This window comes from Homo sapiens, chromosome 6, assembly GCF_000001405.40.
Source record: "Homo sapiens chromosome 6, GRCh38.p14 Primary Assembly".
In the NCBI taxonomy this organism is placed as follows: Eukaryota; Metazoa; Chordata; class Mammalia; order Primates; family Hominidae; genus Homo; species Homo sapiens.
Window position 1 is genome coordinate 167,571,060 of NC_000006.12, and position 20,334 is coordinate 167,591,393.

Below are 20,334 nucleotides of genomic sequence, written 5' to 3' on the forward strand. Positions count from 1 at the left end.
TTGCATCCTGATGATGACAGGGAGTGGGAATTGGAGACTCCACAGGGGCTCAACGCTGGGCTCCTGGGGGTGAGGGTGTGACACCACTATGGAGGCAGGCCTGAGGGAATCACTAACGTAAATCAAGTCTGAAGAGGAGATGTTTGTGAACTGTGTGCCCGGCCAGCGCCAGGAAGGCCCCTTTAGCATGGGAGGGAGTGTCCTCCTCGCTCCAACAGGGCACCCCTGGGGCCTGACAGCTCAACTGTGCACAGACAGGCAGCTGCCTTTTGGGACAGCCAGACTCAAGTCCTTCCAGAGGTGTCGTTTCTAAATGAATAGAAATCAGAATAGCCTTCTTCCAGAACGTTTTCTCAGTAACTTTTCTGTAAAAATGTCCCTAATACAATAGCAAAAAAAAAAAAAAAAAAAAAAAAGTGATTACTATATTTCCAGGCAACGTCCATGTACACACATATATCTAGGAATCCTCCCACTAATGCCAGCCTAGGTATTGTTAGTACCCACCTCACAGATGAGGAAACCAAGGCACAGGGAAGACAGGAAATTTACCCAAGGTCACATTGCTGGTGATGGGTGCGGCCAGGATCCCCAGCCAGCAGGCCGGGCTCTGCCTCAGCTAGGCTGCGCCTGTGTGGTCCCCGGGCCTCCACACCAGAGCTGGGTCCTCCAGGGGCCGTGAATACTCAAGGCTAAGACAGCCCTGGCTGCTCTGTGGCTTTCCCTAAGCCGAGCCCTGCCTTCCCCCGCATCCAACCTTCTGTCAATGCTGTGCGCTGTGATTTAAAGGCTTCATTTTAATTCAATCCGTACCCCTGCTCAGATACCAGACAACACTTTGTTTTGTTTTGAGAAAACTGTATATGTCAGATTAACACAGTGGGCAGGAATTTGCTTCCCCGATCTTAGGGTACAATGTCACCGTTGCTTATTTTATTTAAATCAAGCTAAATCCAACTCCAACCAACATTCCATAAAAGCTCACGGGAAATTCTGTCTTAATGAAAACTGAGGTTTCCCTGACACCCCAGAGTGGGGATGGGGCCCCCACCAAGGGTCTAACACTGAGGTAAGCATCCAGGAAAGGCCTTTCTCACCAGCCCACCCGGTTACCCAGATGAACCCTTGAGTCAGGGCCCTGCTGCTTGTGTGCCCCTGAGGCCCGGGGTCCCCTCAGGCAATGGGGGGTTCCTTGAGACACAGGGGTCCCCTCAGGCAATAGGGGGTTCCTTGAGGCCCGGGGGTCCCCCCAGGCAAGCGGGAGATCCCTGAGGCTTGGGGTCCCTGTGCCCAGCCCAGCCTTGCTACACGCAGGCACGCCGGGCAGCCGATGTCACCAGCTCCTCAACCCCACCAGCCCCACCACTGAGGGGCTCATGGGCGCCACCAGCCTGGGTTCCTTCCCGGGCTGGGCAACCTTCTCCCTTACCCTCACCTTCAAAAGCAGTTCATTTCTACTCTTCCCTGTCAGGATACCCAGGTTTCAGTAAAAATGGGAAAATAGCTTCCTTCCACTCCCAGCCTCTAACACCTGAGGAAGTCAGCAGCTGCCCTGACACTCTGGAATTGGGGGTGGGGTCTGCAGGGTTTAAAAAACAAAATAAATTATGGAGGAGAGAGCCTGTTAATAAACATCACAGCAAATCACTGTTACATTTCTATAAAAGGCCATCGAATAGAATCATGCATCATTTAAGAGCATTTTTGCTACCCAAACACTCTTCTCTCCGTACCACCCCCCGTACACACCTCCTCCCCGCAAAATTGGATGATGGATTCTGGAAATGATGAGAACTTTGAGCCTGTGAGGGCGCCCCAGCAGTTCCCTGAATCTGCGTCCTCACTCTGCAGATGGAGCCATGTCAGCCCCGCCCCAGGAACTCACCCGAATGGAGCCGGGAGTCACATCAACTAAAAACAATGTGAATCTCAATTCAGCTACGACAGACTCGCTGTCACTCAGATCCCAGGACGTCCCCCCAGACGCTCCAGAGCCTGCCAATCTGGCCCAGAAACAGCATGCACCCGAGGCATCCTTCCAGCACCCGTTCCTCTCCCTACACAGAGCAGATCCCCAGCCAGCAAAGCCCTGCCATGTAGGCCACTGCCTTCCTTGACAGCCCCACGCACTGGGGCTTCCTGGTACCTCTGCGGGTGCCTCCTCTGCCTCCTGGGGACAGGCACTGCCTCCAACCTGGGGACAGGGTCCCCTTCTGCCTTCTCATTCATTTCCTTTCATCGCAACCCACAGAAAGACTGACCAAAAGTGCTGAGAACTTCAGGTTCTCTGAGCCCCAGGACTCACCACGATGTTCACACCCCATCCAAAATATGCGGTTTTGTCAACTCTTGATTGGAAGATTCCTTCAAAGACTTTATTAATAAGGACCTCTAACAAGAATCTGAAACGGGCCCTGTTCTATGGAATTCCCCTCTGTGGCAGGTGAGGTGGCTGCGCAGAGCTCGGGAGCCCGCCCTGGGTGAAGGGGTAGGAGAGGCTGAGGCTCGGCCACAGAAGAAGGCACTGCTGCACACACACAGCTGCGATCCCCGTGGCTAACGGCACTGGGGAGCCGGGAAAATCAAAAAGAAAACAGCATCCTGACGTTGGTCACGGTGCAAAACCTGAACAGAATCCCAGGCCCCGTGTGGCTCAATCTTTGTTTAAAGTTACATTCAAATAACAGACTCACTGCCAAAAAAAAAAAAAAGTTTTAAAAATAACTGAATTCTCTGTTGTCTCTCTCTGCCTCCCTGCTCTCTCCCTTTCTGCCAAGACACACACACATAAACGCAGGCAGAAATACAAGCAAAATTCTCAGCAGCACTCCTTAAAATTCTTACTTGACATCTCATACACTCCCCAAAATTCCAAACTCATAGCAGCTGCCAAAGTCTTTTTTTTTTTTTTTCTTTCTGCTCTCAAAAGTCTTCATGGGGTCAGGCTGTGGCCAGGACCTTCCCATGTCACCCGTTCCCCCCTGGCCTCCCTGGCCTCTCCAATGGCTGCTGGGACCCCCGGTCCTAGCCCCAGACTCATTGGGACCCAGAAAGACCTGGGGAAGGAGCTATGGAAGCCTCTGGAACAGGTGGTTCTTCCCATGCTATGGTTTTTCATGAGGGGCTGAGCTACTTTGTAAAGGCTTTGAAACGTACACAATTAGGGAGCACAATTAAGAAAAAGAACGTGAAATTATAAACACAAAATGAGATAGAAATTGGAAAATTATTTGGAATAGAAAAGAAATTACAACAAATTATGACGGTTCAAAAGCTGACAAATACAACAGGCGTCATAAAAAGGAAAAACGATTTTGTTGATTAAGTGCCTGATGGTGACTGGCACTTCGACATATTTTCTCTAAAGAGAGTAGAAAACTAGTCAAGTCTTGCTTCTAACAGGCTTGTTTGATTTTATTTTATTATTATTATTATTGATGTTTAGAAAATGTCCACCACTCATGCTTGATAAAGTCATGTGAACGGGGCTGTGGGCAGACGCGTGTGGAGCCTGCCGTGGGGAGCCTACTCAGGTACGTGTCCATGTGGGGTCCCTCTGCCGTGCCAGGCTCGGAACCCCCACACTTGTGGATCTACCCTTTTGGTGCCCCTCAGGAAGACCTGGGAGACTTTTCAAACATCCCAATGTCCACTCCCTGGCCCAGCCTACGAGGCAGACTCCCCAGGGACCTTAGGTTCCCTCGTCTGAAAGCCCCACCCCATGGTTTGAAAGCACAGCAACCTCGAGCTCTAGAGGCCGGCCGCTGACAGGGCTGCCCTGTGCCAGGCGAGAGGAAAGCGTTTCACAGGATTCTGCCTGGGTGAGCCAGAGACTCCCTGGAGAGCGGTCCCGCCGCCCTCCACAGCCAGGGCCGCTCCTCTCTTGTTCTTAGCCCTGTGCACTGTTCCAGCACAGCTGTTCCCAAGCGCACGGCGGCTGCTCCCGCACTTCCACCGAGAAAAAGCTGAGGTCGGCGTAGCCGTGGAGAGGCCAAAGTGAGTCTGCATAATGAGACACTTTTTAAAGAATTCACAATAAACATTCATTTGATGTCGGCGTATTCAAATACGATTTATTCACACTTTACCAAATGAATTCATTTTCTAGAGCTGCTGTGAAGTACCACGAATGACAGAAACTGGCTTAAGACAACAGAAATGTATCCTCCCCCAGTTCTGGAAGCCGGAAGTCTGAGACGAAGGCGTCAGCAGGGCTCTCATCCATTCGCCATGCTGGGTCTGTCACGGCCTGAATGCTTTCGTCCCCAACGTTCATAGGGTAGGAACCTTCATCCCACAGTGGCGGTTTAGGAGGCGACTAATCACCGTTGGGAGGTGGCAAAGTCATGAGGGTGGAGCCCTTGTGAAGGGGATGGGTGCCCTCCCTTACAGAAGAGGCCCCTGAGACTCCATCACCCCTTCCGCCACGTGAGGGCACAGCGAGAAGGCGCCATCTGTGAGCCAGGAGCTGTTCTCCCCAGACGTCTAACCTGCCTTCGCCTTGGCCTCCCAGCCTCCAGAACTGTGTGTGTGGCGCTTCTGTCACGCAACTAGGATGCACTGAGACGGGGCCTGGGGAAAGCGCCGTTTTATGCGTCAGGAGAGGGTGGGGCCAAGGTGGGAGAGGGTGGGGCCAAGGTGGGAGAGGGTGGGGCTAAGGTGGGAGAGGGTGGGGCCAAGGTGGGAGAGGGTGGGGCCAAGGTGGGAGAGGGTGGGGCCAAGGTAGGAGAGGGTGGGGCCAAGGTGGGAGAGGGTGAGGCCAAGGTGGGAGAGGGTGAGGCCAAGGTGGGAGAGGGTGGGGCCAAGGTGGGAGAGGGTGGGGCCAAGGTGGGAGAGGGTGAGGCCAAGGTGGGGAGAGGGCTTTGTGCACAACTCTCCCCCGGGGTTTTGCTGTGTCTGCTCCATCCTCGAAAAGCCAAACGCACACTCCTAGATCTTCTTTCGGGGGATGCTTAGGAAAAAAGACTGGAATGGAATAGTGTCAGGGGTTGTTAATGAGAAGAGCCAGAGAAATGCCTGAGATACAGGAAAAGCCCCCAGATGCTCCCTTCAGCAGGGCCCTGGGCATCCTCTGGCCTCCCAGTGGCTGGGGCTGAGCTAAGAGGAGGCTCATTTGTTGCAAGAATGGCGCAGAGGGGTCTTGGATGCAGGGAAGGTGCCAAAAGAACTTGTGTCTAGGGCTCGGGGGAAGCAGGAGTGTGGAGTCCAGGGTCCGGAGCCGTGGCTCCTAGGTCACCCATTGACGAGGGCAGGATTCAAGCTTATGGTGTAGGAGGGCCGAGTGGGCGCCAGCGCTAGGGGCGTCGAGGGCCGCGTGAGTGCCAGCGTTAGGAGCATGGGAGGGCAGCGTGGGTGCCAAGGCTAGAGGCGTCAGAGGACCATGTGGGTGCCAGTGCTAGGGATATTGGAGGGCCGTGTGGGTGCCAGCTCTAGGGGTGTCAGAGGGCTGCGTGGGTTCCAGCACTAGGCGTATTGGAGGGCTGCATGGGTGCCAGTGCTAGGGACCCCTCCCAGTTCAGAAGGACTTTCAACTCCCGCCTCGCTGCCAAACCCACTGCCTGGGGAGGGGTCTGGAAACCGTCCTTGAATTTGCCTCCCGTCTCCCCATCCTTAGCATCATCCTGACTCTTCCTCTGCCCTCCTCACCCCAAAGTCCCAGAATGCCAGGCTGCTGCACAGACGCCCCCTCACAGCCCAGAACCCCGGCCCTGCCCATGCAGGGACACTACCCGCGCAAAGAAAACACGGGCGATGAGAAATGTCAGGTACCCAAATTCCTGAAGAACAAGATCTCTATCTAACTGCGAAGGTTTCAAAGCAGGTTGGACGTGTTTTCTCAGACAGGTTTGATATTTGCACCGCAGGAAATTTGGGCTCATAGAGACCCTTTAGCCTGATCTACAAAGCAGCAGGACAAACAGCGACAGATGTTTGCAGTTAGACCTCTCCAGGATCTGAAGCCTCCTACAGATGGTGAGGAACCCTGCCTGGGAGCACAGAAAGCACATTAAAGAGAGCGTTTGTGGGACACCTGGAGGGGTGGCAAGGCATATGGGCTGAGGACGCCCTCCCCCAGACTCCCGTGCAGCCCCCTCCCAGGCACCGTATGCGTAGGGCACTGACTCACTCATCCTCTCTCCCTCTCGCACCTGGGACACTTCTTTACCAAGCAGCTAAACGACAAAGCCACTAAGATTAAAAGCCCTTCCTCACATGCCCTCAGAGTGGGAGGGCTGGCTCTGCTCCATCCCAGCTCACAACAGTGGAAGAAGAAAACATCTTGTTCCTGGAGTGTGGGCAGATGTCGCCGGCGGGGTCAGCCATGAACTGTGTGCAGACGTGGTGCAGTGTGTGTGCTGGGATGTGGCGTGGTCCGCAGCCGTGTCCACCGCCCTGTGTCTGAGCCCAAACCTCCGTCCTGCAAGTGCCTCGTCATTCAACCATTGGCCTTTGACTTCACTCTCCTGAATGTTGTTTCCTCTGTTCAGTGATGGTATTGAAAGTCTGATGGAGCTTTTGCTAATATAAATAAGATCATGCAAGAGAAGTGCTAAGCCCAGTGTTAGGGAGTAGCAAGCCCTCAGTGAAGGCATCCAGGGCATAGAAGGGAGCGACGTAAGCCTGTCAGACCTAAGGAAATTCCCTCAGAGCAGGAGTGCTATTTTCAAACAAATTTTGTTTGTTTGTTTTTTAATTTTTTGTTGTTTGTTTTCAAATCCCAGCATTCAGGATATTTCCCATTGCACTTTAGCTAAAAAACAAGCAGCAAGGCCACCCTTTCGTGCAGTTGGTGTTGGGTTACAGAGCAGGGTGGGTAAAGGCCAAGAGAAACTCAGTCTCAGGAGAGGCACCGTGGGGCCATTTGCCTCCAGCCATCAGCACTGCCACCCCTGGATCTTGGGCAGGGGCATCGGGTCCCCCTGCTCCCCATGCACAGAGAGCTGTGAGTGCACGGAGCTCTCACTCATTCCTGAGAGTTCGGCTTGGAGCACACAGCTGGGTGTGTGGAGCGTGGGGCTGGGCTGACATCAGCGTCCACCTGGTGATGCAGGGAGGCACCTGTCTCTGCAGAGTCTGTGTGTGGGCCTGTTATCCCAGACTGCATCCTGCAGAGTCAGAAGCAAAGCTGGCATGAGCGTCTGCACGCTGCGTGAATGGGTGAGACCCACCAGAGATGCTATCCGGGGAGGCCAGGGCCGTGGCGGTGGGAGAGCTCTGATCCAAGGCCTCTTCCCACAGAGGCTGATGCCCAGCAAGGATCTCACCACAAAGCTTGTCCTCAGCACGGCTAAGGGCCTTGATGCGAAAACAGGACGGGGATGCAGGGGTGACTGAAGAAGCAGAAAGGACTTGAAAACTACACCCTGCTCTGTCCAAAGCTCAAGATGGTGAAATTAACACCTAAAGCCCTGGTGGCCGGCACGGGAAAACTTTAGAAGTCCAGAGGTCTGAGGGCACCCTCCTGGTAGGTGGACAGGGCAGAGGAAGGCCGAGGAGGAACCTGGGAATGCTCAGCTGCCTATAGCAGCAGGCGCTGGGCCAGTGGCGTCAAGGAGGGAGAGGGAGCAGGCTGCACCCACAGCCCTGCAGCCACCACGCAGCCCAGCGTGGAAAGGACTCGAGCTCTCCTCAATGCCACATGCTGCTGCACCACACTCTCTCTGTTTTCTCTATTTTAGAAGCTGGTGATGAGAAGAGCCCAATGCCGAGTCGTCTTCCTGGTTGCCGGATTCGTCTATGCTCGCAGGGCTGTGAAGGAACGCCTGAGACGGGGTAATTTATAAAGAAAAGAGGTTAATTGTCTCATGGGTCTGCTGGTTGTACAGGAAGCATAGCAGCTTCTGCTTTGGGGAGGCCTCAGAAAGCTTCCTCCTGGCAGAAGGCAAAGGGGGAGCAGGCGGGTCACATGGTGGGAGCAGGCGGAAGGGAGGTGCCACACACTTTTAACAACCACATCTCATGAGAACCCACTCACTCTCACGAGGAGAGTACCAAAGAGGATGGTGCTAAACCATTCATGGCAAACTGCCCTGTGAACCAGTCTCCTCTCACCGGGCCCGACTTCCAATGTTGGGCCCACCTTGTGGCCTCACTTCACTTGATGACATCTGCAAAGAACCTGCTTCCAAGTAAGGTCACAGCCACAGGCACGAGGCTTAGAACACAACAACTACAAATTTAAAGTTTAAAGCGTTTTAAAAAACAGACCAGGTGGCTTTGGTAACGTGCTCTGAGCCTCTTCATTTTCTTTGTGGTCCTGTGTTGACTTGAACTCATCAGTGTGTTTGTCTTGTGTGTTTTCTCGCACACCTTCTATGCATGAGTTCCCCTAGGGCAAGGACCTCACCCCATATTTACCTACCTGAGGAGTCAGGGCACAGGGTAGGGGACAAAGAACACTGACCAACTCCTGCTTCCCCCCCAAATCTCTCCAGCCCCCATTCAAAGGACCCTCCATTTTCTGCTATGAAATCTGTTTATTTGCAGTTGAACTCTTCTGGTGGCCAGCCCTGGTGTCTGAAGTTTAGAATGTGGTGCCATGCTCTTGCATGTTGTGCTTAAAAAGGCTTTTGTTGGAAAAGCTTGTGTGAAGCCACTGGCACCTGTTACGTGAGCACATGTGACTCTGCGCTGACCCGTTGCCATTGGGCCCTGGGGAATGACAGAGAGAAAAGATAAATTGGGAAGGAGAAAGCCAGGTGTGGAGTAAAAAGGTGTGAAGAGAGCAGAGCTTGATGAGAGGACAAGTGAGGAGGCTGGGCATAAACTGTGATCTGGAGAGACAAAGAGGAGGGGGTGCCTGTGTATTTTGTGCAGTCGAACGACCCGGGTTCAATTCCTGCCTTCATTCCACTCTGAGCCTCAGACCCCCATTCACAGAAGGGGCCTGTGTCATGCAGCTCATGAGTCAGGAGAATTAATGGGATCGAGGGAGCCTGTTGACTGCTTGGCTCCAATGACAAGCACACAGTAAGAAGCCAATAATATGAATGCTTTCTGCCTTTCACACCATTTTCATTTGTACGTCACTCTCTAGTAAGATTAGTAAAAACGTTCCTATGTTGAAAAAAAAATGCTTTAGTTGAAAATAAAGGAGCTCGTCTCTTGGTGGAAGATCAAATATTCACATTAGCTTCAAGGATTTTCTTGTAATCACACTGAGATCTTAGCCCATTTAATGGAGCATAATACATACATTGTCATTTCAAACAAAGTCCTTGTCAAAAATGACACTTTGGAATTTTTTTCTTAAAATAAGCAATGTGGGAGAAATTAACTCACAAAGACGTTGAATGCTAAAAGGAATACAAAGCCATCAATAAATGAAAGTAGAATATTAAAGACACATTTTCCAGTTTAATATTAAAACAAGCAAGGAGGGGAATCCATGAACTAGACACATTTTGAGTGGCTATAGTTCTTAGAGCAACAGGAGTGTAGCAGCTGGGGAGGAAATTAGAGAAAAATTAACTGGCAGTTATCTCACGAAATGAATATACAAAGACCACCCCCTAAAGGAATTACTGAATATATTCTTCTATTCACAGTAGCAGGAAACAGACTGACATAGTGAATTAGAAACAGCTGAGCAAATACCCATTTTCTAAAATGGACACATTTCTAGAAGAGCACAAACCCAGACACACCCAGACAGCCTCCCTCTTGGTTTCGTGTCTACAGGGGCCAGCTCAGAGTGGGCTCAGAGTGGCGCCTGCCCAGGATTGCACAAGACTCTTCACTGGGAAGGGAAAAAAATACAGTCACATCTTCAAGTCCCGTCTTTTATAGTTCCTATTTGGGGTATTATCTACAATACACATTCTTTATTTGCACAGTAGCGTCTCTGAGTACTGCTTTATACAGATTATTCTGTTCAAAGGTTCTTATTGATGGCTGTGCACTTGAACACTCCCCAGAAGACAGGAGATGGACAGGACGACAGAGGGGACAAGGAGAAAAGTAGACAGAGAGACCATCAGGATGTCCAAGCCAATGACATTGGACGCTTTTCCTAAAGCAAGAAAATGCACCATAGACACTATGCTAAACATCTAGACAGGATCCGAGAAATGAGTTTCATTGTTTAGAAATTTTTACTGTGTGAGAAAGAACTTAAAAAGCACTTTATGGGCATTAAAAAGAATACAATGTATGTGCTTACAGTTTCAAAGGGTTCAAGGTTGGTTTTAAATGAAATAAGATTTAAAGGTTATTTGTAGATTTCAAATTTTATTTGCATTTTTCATAGATTATGATTTTTATCTACATCTGACACTGGTGATTTGACAGCATATAATTTATTCTCCATTCAAAGACACACTGACAGCCTAGAGTGGGGAGCAAGACAGCAGAAGAGGTCTCTCTCGTGATGATTCCCTCACAAAAACACCAATTTGAACATGCAAATGAAAGTACCATCACAAGAGCTGAGTCAATCAGATGTGAGACCATACCACTGGGTTATAGCACAATAAGAAAAGATGTGTCAAATAAGATACAAAGTTCTCTTTTCCATTATCCACATCACCCCTCCTCCAGCCCAGGAGCATAGCATGGAGAGACTGTCTGCTCAGGGGAAACCGGGAAGTGAGCAAAGATGTCCAAATACTGAGCCCGCCGCAGTAAAATCCAGCACTGGGCAGGCCTCCATGGCCCCAGAGTCCAGGTTGGAACCCAAAGACTGAGCCTCCAGACCTGCTGCAGTGCCAGGCTGGACCACATAGCCTCAGGCTTCTGGCTTGCGTGGCTAACTTGACCTCTGGCCCACGCAACTCCTCAGTCAATGTCAGCAGCCCCGGCCTCCCTACAGTCCTCATCAGCAGGCAGGACCCAATGGCTCCTAGCTTCAGGTAGGCCCCAGCACAGTACCAGTGGGCCCCAGGCTTCTGGCTTGCCCCAGCACTGCTCCAGCCAGGTTGAGCCCTGAGCTTCTGGCTCACCCAAGCAATGCACCAGGTGCAGCAACTGCAGACTTCTGGCATGCCCCAGTGCCATGCACATTGGTAGCAGTCCCAGGCTTCAGAACTAAGCCAGAAAGCCTGCTTAGAATCTCTGGACAGGCTGACTTTATATATATATATACGTGCATATATATATATACACACACACATATATATGTATGTATATATATATATACATACATATATATGAGTGTATATATATACATACATATATGTGTATATATACACACACACATATATGTGTATATATATGTGTGTATATATATATGTGTGTATATATATATGTGTGGGTGTATATATATGTGTGTGTATATATATGTGTGTGTGTGTGTATATATATATATATATATGTGTGTATATATATATAGAGAGAGAGAGAGAGAAAGAGAGAGAGGCTCTTGCTTTGTCACCCAGGCTGGAATGCAGTGTTATGATCATGGCTCACTGTGGCCTCCACCTCCAAGGCTGAAGAAATCCTCCCATCTCAGCCTCCCAAGTAGCTGGGAATACATGCACATGCCAAGACACCCAGTTAATTTTGTTTATTTTTTGCAAAGACAGGGTCTCACTATGTTGCCCAGATTGGCCTCAACCTCCTGGACTCAAGCGATCCTCCCACCTCAGCTTCCCAGAGTGTTGGAATTACAGGCATGAACCACTGTGCCTGGCCCAGGCAGACTACTGAAGGGCTTTCCCAGACAAAGCACTTCTCAGAAGACTGAAATAGATACCTACATCTGCAAATATACCAACATCAATGCATAGCCACAAGGGTTAAGAACAATCAGGGAAACATGACATCACCAATGCAACAAACTAAAGTGTTATTGACCAACCTTAAAGAAATGGAGATAAATAAACTTCCTGAAAAACAATTTAAAGTAACTTTTAAAGAAGCTTAGCGAACTTCAAGAAAAGGCAGAGAAGCAATTCAATGAATTAAGGAAAACAATAACTGGCCAGATGAGAAATTTAATAGAGAGATTGCAATAATTAAATAAATAAATAAAACAGAAATCCTGGAGCTGAAAAATTCAAATACAATGAACGAAATGAAAAATTTAATAGAGTATCAATAGTAAAATTGATAAAGCAGAAGAAAGAATCTATGAACTCAAAGATAAGTTATTTGAAAATATACACTCAGAGGGAAAAAAGAATGAAAATAAATGAAAAAAGCTTATGGGATTTATGAAACAGCATAAAAAGAGCAAATATTTGAATCATAGGAGTTAAAGAAGAAGAGGAAGATAAAGTGGTAAAAAGTGTATTTAAACGAAGAGTTAAAAAAAAAAAGAAACAGTAGCAGAAACTTTTAAAACCTGAAAATACACTTAAGTATCCAGGTACAGGAAAGTCAAAGGTCACCAATCCAAATAAGATTCAATCCAAATAAGACTACCCCAGACATATAATCATATTGTCAAAAATCAAAGACATAGAGAGGATTCTGGGGGCAGCAAGAGGAAAAAAAGCAAATAACATATAAGGGACTTCCCAAACAGCTATCAGCAGACCTTTCAGAAGAAACTTTACAGGAGGCAGTGGGATGATATATTCCGAGTGTTTAAGAAACAACAACAAAAAAATGCCAAGCAAGAATATTGTACCCAGCAAAGCTGTTCTTCACTAATTAAGAAAGGATATTTTCTTAGACAAACGCTGACAGAGTTCATAACTATCAGAGCTGTTTTACAAGAAATGCTAAAGGGAGTTCTTCCAGTATAAATTTGTTGGTAAAAGTAAGTACACAGTCAAATTTAGAACTCTGCCACTATAGTGGTGGTGTGCAAATTACTTATATCTTTACTATGAAGGTTAAAAGACAAAGTTATTAAAAATAACTATAGCTGCAAAAATTGTTAAGGATATGCAATGTAAGAAAAGGACACACATAGACTGAAAGTGAAGGAATAGGTAAAGACAGTCCATGCAAATGGAAATCAAAATAGGAATAGTTATATCAGATAAAATAGACTTTAAAAAACTGTAAAAAAAGGACAAAGAGGGTCATTAATAACAACAAAAGAAACAATCCAGCAAGAAGATATAATGATTATTAATATTTTATATAATATTTATATAATATTTGGTCTATATATTTAGATACTGGAATTGGAGTATACAAATTTATGAAGCAAATATTAATAGAGCTGAAGGGAGATATAGACTGTAACACAATAATAGTGGGGAACATCAATATGCCACTTTCGACATTGGTCAGATCAGCTATACAGAAAGTAAATAAGGAAGCATTGAACTTAAACTATACTCTAGACCAAATGGACATAACAGACATATCTAGAACATTCCATCCAGCAGCTGCAGAATACTCATTTTTCTCAACTGCACATGGAACAGTTCCTAGAATAATTATGTGCTAGGCTACAAAGCAAATCTTAACAAATTTAAGATTAAAAGTAACTTTTCTGACCACAGTGGTATAAAACTAGGAATCAATTACATAAGGAACTTTGGAAAATTCACAAATACATGCAAGTTAAACATGCTATTGAACAACCAATGAAGCCATGAAGAAATTAAAAGGGAAATGTAAAATTTTGTTCAGGCAAACAAAAGTGAAAATATGACATACCAAAACTTGTGGGATATAGGAAAGGCAGTTCTAAAGGGAAGTTTATAGCAATCAACTCCTACACAAAAAAAAGAAGGACACTAAATAAACAACCTAACATTGCACCTCAAGGAATCAGAAAAACAAGAACAAACTAACCCCAAAGTAAGTAAAAGGAAGAAAATAATAAAGGTCACAGCAGGAATAAATGAAATAGAGACTAAAAAAATAGAAAAGATCAACAAAAATGAGAGTTGTGCTTTTAAACAGATAAATAAATTCCACTAGACTTTAGTTAAACTAAGAAAAAAAGAGAATGTGCAAATAAAATCATAGATAAAAAGAGAGGCATTTCAACTGATACAACAGAAATACAAAAAAAAACATGAGACTAATATGAGCAATTATATGCCAACAAATTGAATAACCTAAAAGAAATAAATTCCTTGACACATATAACTTATCAAAACTGAATCATAAAGAAATAGAAAACCTGAACAGACCAATAATGAGTAATGAGATCAAAACAGTAATAAAAAGTCTCTCATCAAAGAAAAGGCAAGAACTGTATGGCTTTTGTTTAATTCTATCAAACATTTAAAGAAAAACTAATACCAATTATTGTTAAAATCTTTCAAAACATTGAAGAAAATAGAACACTTCTCAACTCATTTTACAAGGCCAACATTACGCCAATACCAAAGCTGAACAAGGACAGCACACACACAGACACACGCACACACACACACAGAGGCATGCACAAAAAGAAAAGAGCAGGCCAATATCCTTGATGAAGATAGATGCAAAACTCCTCAACAAAATACTAGCAAACCAAATTTAACAATACATCAAAAAGATCATTCACCATGGTAATGTGGGATTCATCTCAGGAATACAAGGATGGTTCAGCATACGTAAATCAAAATAAATGTGACACATCACATTAACATATTTCAGGATAAAAACCATACAATCATTTCAATAGATGCAGAAAAATCATTTGATAAAATTCAAAATCCTTCATGATGAAAACTCTCAATAAAATAGATATAGAAGGAAAGTACCTAAACATAATAAAGGCCATGCATGACACACCCCAGCTTACATCATATTGAACAAGGAAAAGTTGAAAGCTTTTCCTCTAAGATCTAGAACAAGACAAGGATGCCCCCTTACCACTTCTATGCAACTTCTAGCATTGGAAGTCCTAGCAAGAGCAATTAGGCAAAAGAAAGAATTAAAAGGCATCCAAATTGGAAAGGAACAAGTTAAATTGTCCCTGTTTGCAGATGACATGATCTTATATATAGACAACCCTAAAGACTATTTAAAAACTGTTAGAACAAATAAATTCGGGAAACTTGCAAGATACAAAATGAACATACAAAAATCTGTAGTGTTTCTATATATTAACAGTGAACTATCCAAAAAAAAAGAAATCAAGAAAACAATCCCATTTACAGTAGCTGCCAAAAAATAAAATAGAAATAAATGTAACCCAAGAGTGAAAGGTCTCTGTATTGAAAACTATAAAATACTGATGAAAGTAATTGAAGTAGACACAAATAAACAAAAAGATGTTCTGTTTTCATGGATCAGAAAAATTAGTACTAATAAACTGTCCATACTACACAAAGTGATCTACAGATTCAATGCCATCTCTGTCAAAATACCAATTCTATTCTTCACAGAAATAGAAAAAACATCCTAAAATGTGTATGGAGCCACAAAAGACCTCCAACAGCCAAAGTAATCTTGAGCAACAAGAACAAAGCAGGAGGCATAATGCTACCTGACTTCAAAATATACTAAAAGGTACGGTAAACAAAACAGCACTATACTGACATAAAAACAGACACATAGACCAATGGAACAGAATAGGTAGCCCAGAAATAAACCCACATATTTACAGCCAGCTCATTTTCAACAAGGATGCTAAGAACATGCAGTGGGGAAAGGACAGTCTTCAATAAATAGCATTGGGAAGGCTGGATATTCACATGTAGAATGACACTAGACCCCTAACTCACACCATATACAAAAATCAATTCCAAACGCATTAAAGACTTCAGTGTAAGACCCAAAACTATAAAACTACCATAAGAAAACATAGGGAAAAGCTCAATGACATTGGTCTGGGTGATAATTTTTTGGATATATCCTCAAAAGCACAGATAACAAAAGCAAAAATAGACAAATGGGATTACACAGCAAGGAAAGAATCAACAGAGTGAAGAGACAGCCCACAGAATGGGATAAAATATTTGCAAACTCTATAACTGATAAGGGATTAATATCCAAAATATAGTCATGTGATGCTTAATGACAGGAATACGTTCTGAGATGTGTCATTACAAGATTTAATTGTTGTGTGAATATCATTAGAGTGTACTTACACACACCTAGATGGTACAGCACACTACACACTTAGGCTATACAGTATAGCCTATTGCTCCAAGGCTACAAACCTATACAGCGTGTTACTATACTGAATACTAGAGGCAATTGTAACACAACATTAGGTGTTTGTGTATCTAAACATAGTAAAATTACAGTAAAAAATGGTCTTAAAATTGTATGGACCACTGTTGTATATGTGCTCCATGATTGTCCAAAATGTCAGGTGGCGTCACCACTATGTCCTCGTGCCATGCAGGCCGGCTCACCTGTGGAGCTGCAGCCACTGGTGTGGGGTTGTGGGGTGTAGGGTGGGGGTGGGCATAGGTTGTGCTGGGCATGAGTGCATATAAAGAACTCAAACAACTCAATAGCAAGAAAACAACACTTTCTATAAATGGACGAAGCATCTGAGTAGACATTTCTGAAAAGAAGACATACAAATGGTCAATAGATTTACGGAAAAACACTCATCACTAATCATCAGGAAAACACAAATTAAAACCACAATGAGATATCGCCTCATATCTGTTAAGATGGTTGTTATCAAAAAGACAAAAGATTTAACAAGTGTTGGCAAGGATGTGGAGAAAAGAGAGCCCTCACACACTGTTGGCAGAAATATAAATTAGTACAACCATTATAGAAAACAGCATGGAAGATGGGAGAGGAGGGAAAGAGAAGGAGGGGGAGGAGAAAGACAAGGGGAGGGGAGGAGAAAGAGGCGGAGTGGAAGAGGGAGAGGTGGAGGGGGGAGGGGAGAGGAGGCAGGAGAGGAGAGGGTGTTTCCAGCCAGGGTGAAGTTCAGGACACTGCATAGGTGCGCTCATTCCTATCTTGCCCTCTGCACTTGCTCACCCCCCAATCTGATGACCCCTGAAGTGGCCCTTGTCAGAGCACCATGGAGAAGGTGCTGACATTTTCCAAACCAAAGCTTGTAGATGTGGCTGACTCTGGATTAAATGCGTGAAATTTGTGACTCGGAACCCGGGTGGGGGGTCTAAGCAAGACCCAACACCATCATCAACAAGTTCTTTGAGTAACTCATTTGCCATTTCTGAGCCTCCATTTCCACAGATTTAAAATAACGAGGCCCAGGAGAGATGACCCCTATGGTCTCTTTTAGTTGTCAACATTTTCCTAAGAATCTAGACCTCCTCAAGAGTTTGTTCCTAATTTTCAAGGAATGAGTCGGCTGAGCCCTGCAGTGCCCTAGTCATGTTGACACAGATGTGGATGCCAGCCTGGGGACAGGATTAACAACTCAGAGCCCGGGAGACTCCCGCCTGCCGAGCTTCCAAGGGCTCGTGGAGCTGGAACTAGGGAGGGGTGCGGAACTAAACTGTTCCTTCCTCTGATAATAGAAGTGTTCCATTGAAATTCCAACAATTATCCATTCTTCCTTTAGCATTTAATCATCTGGACACTTTCAGAGGGAATCATGGCAGGCATTGCTCTCTGTGTTATTCTCCACAGCGCCCCAGCAGTGCAGCCCGACTACCAGCCGATTTGCTCAGATGAGTCAGCAGCCTGAGAAAAACTACACAATGGATGAGGCCAAATAGTAACAGAAATCGGAGCTAAACAACATACAGATCCCCTTTGTGTGGCACTGAAGCCGAACGAGACCCTGGGAGTCTACAATGAGACAGGCCTTTCCTGCCTGACATGTGGACCAGCCAAGTGAACCCCACCACACCCGGTCACTGAACGCCGACCTCCAGGGGACCACATACGCACGCACATGCACACATGTGCCCATCTGGTCTGGTCACCTACTGGGAGGCTGTTCTTCGTTGAGGCCAGGCTCAGAAGCCCTGCGGTCCCTGGGTAGGCCATGGCAAGCGTCTAGGGCACCATCAGGACCCCTACCCAAGGGGTGTGGGGCTATTCTGCCCCTGCTCTCCTTTCTGAGTGACCTGAGAGGTGTGGACAGCAGCCACCGAGGATCCGCTGTGTGGTGCCGCTGGCCTGTGGAGGCTTCCTCAGGGTCCTCTCTCCTCCATTCAGGCTCCACATTTGTCACCAATGAAAACGGTGGGATAGGCACACCCGAGGCCCCACACAGAGGATGCCATGTGAGACCCTGCTCCATCCTCCTCCTTCAGAGGAGCCCACGCCAACCTCTGGCTGAGACCTTTCATCCAGCAAGGTACCTCCTGCAGTGGAGTCTCACTCTTAAATTCCTGTCCAAGAAACCGACCAAAAGCTGTTTTAGGGCAGGTGGTACCGCAGGGCCGTGAGCAGAGGAGATTGTACCCTGAGCTTCCACTCCCTCTCCCAAAACAGGAGTGCTGCTACCCCTCACCCTACGCCCACTCCCAGCCCACACCCGACAACCCCACACCAGTGGCTGCAGCTCCACAGGTGAGCCTGCCTGCATGGCACGAGGACACGGTGGTGATGCCACCTGACTCGGCTTCAGCAGCCTGCGGACCCAGGTGGGAAGGGGCTTCACGAGGCGGTGGCTCATGCCTCCTTTAGGAACAACATGTTCCAACCCAGTGGCCAGCCCTCAGGTCTGGAGCACCGCAGCATGGCTGCAGGAGAGGGAAGCACCCAGATGGACTGGCAGGCAAGGACTCTCTGGGTCCCATGCCCAGCACAGGCTGTGGGGAGTAAAACACATCCCCCTAAAGGAAGTTTCCTTCACATCTTCACCCCCACAGACCCTGCCTTTCCCTCCAACACAGCCCTGCCCAAATCCTCTGGGAGGAAGCAGAACCTCCCGTGCCCTGAAACGTGTCAGGTCCCTGGGGGCTGAGCAGACGGCGCCCACGCCCTTAATCCACAAACGGGAGCCTTTAGAGCAAATGTTTTAAACGCCCACTCTCACAAAGGCGGTCGGAAGTTTATGGAACTCAATACTGCTCTTGAAGGAGTCCAGGCAAAAATATAAATGCTCTCCGATGGGTTTGGCCAATTTCTGAACCATAGAGCTATAAAGGATGTCTGCAGGAGACTGAGGCACAGCAACGCCAAGGACAGTGTCAGAAAACAAACTACCAACTGGCACATCACATCTCAGGAGGCTCTGCAGAGGCATGACAGAAATTCCCAGACTTCTAAGCTGCAAACAGTCTCGAAGCCTTGTATGAGGCACATCACCACCACAACCTTAACCCTCTGGGTTCTTAAGCCAGAACACAGACATACAGACACAAATGTGCGCACGGCACCACACCACACCATCACCTCCCTATGCAGAGAAGGCACACACACAGCATTACCATCACCACCTCCACCACCATTATCACCTCCACCTCCACCACCACCTCCTCCCTATATACAAACACAAACATGCACACAGCACCACACACCATCACCTCCCTATGCGGAGAACGCACACACACACCATTACCATCACAAGCATCACCTCCACCTCCACCGCCACCTCCTGCCTACATACAAACACAAACATGCTCACAGCACCCCACCATCACCTCCTATGCAGGGAACACACACACACACCATTACCATCACCACCTCCACCACCATTAACACCTCCACCTCCACCACCACCTCCTCCCTACACACAAACACAAACATGCTCACAGCACTATGCCACATCATCACCTCCCTATGCAGAGAACATACACACACCATTACCAACACAACCATCACCTCCACGTCCATCACCTCCTCCCTACACACAAACACAAACATGCACACAGCACACCACACCATCACCTCCCTACGCAGAGAACACACACACACCATTACCATCACCACCACCATTATCACCTCCATCTCCACCACCACCACCATTTTCACCATTATCACCACCACCTCCACCACCAACACTTTCCTACATACAGAACGCAAACACACACAGAATCACACCACACCATCACTGCACTACACGGGACACACACACACACACACTATCTCTACCACCACCTCCACCACCACTGTCACCACTATCAATATCACTTCCCCCTCCCCACAAAAAGAAGACACATACACACGTATGGCACCATCACCACCACCACTTCCACCACCCCACATACAGAACAGAAACAGACACACAACACCACACCACCACCATCAGAACCCTATGCACGGAAAAAACAAACACATACATATCATCACCACCACAACCATTGCCTCAATCATCACCACCACCATCATTCTCACTACCACCACCACCTCCACAGCCATTACCACTATCATTATACCCTCCACCACCACCACCACAATCACAGTCTCAATCATTAATACCACCATCACCACCATCACCATCATCACCTCTACCAACACCAACACCACCACACTGTCATCATCACTATCACCACCATTACCTCCATCACCACTGCCATCACCATTACCTCCACCACCATCCATCATGACCACTACCTTCACTACCACCACCACCTCTACCACCACCTCTACCACCACCAC

At 47.0% G+C, this 20,334-nt stretch overlaps 1 long non-coding RNA gene across 3 annotated transcripts; it reads left to right on the forward strand.

The window, feature by feature from the left end:
* Positions 1 to 3,774: 3,774 nt before the first annotated feature.
* Positions 3,775 to 17,679, forward strand: LOC105378131 (uncharacterized). 3 transcript variants are annotated; one of them, XR_943274.2, is made up of 4 exons: positions 3,775 to 3,996; positions 4,109 to 4,279; positions 7,680 to 7,773; positions 17,410 to 17,679. It is a non-coding gene; the product is annotated as an uncharacterized LOC105378131 (long non-coding RNA). The 3 variants fall into 3 exon arrangements; XR_001743899.1 differs by lacking the exons at positions 3,775 to 3,996; positions 4,109 to 4,279 and adding exons at positions 5,384 to 5,973; positions 7,240 to 7,465; XR_943276.1 differs by lacking the exons at positions 7,680 to 7,773; positions 17,410 to 17,679 and adding an exon at positions 4,393 to 4,535.
* Positions 17,680 to 20,334: the final 2,655 nt, after the last annotated feature.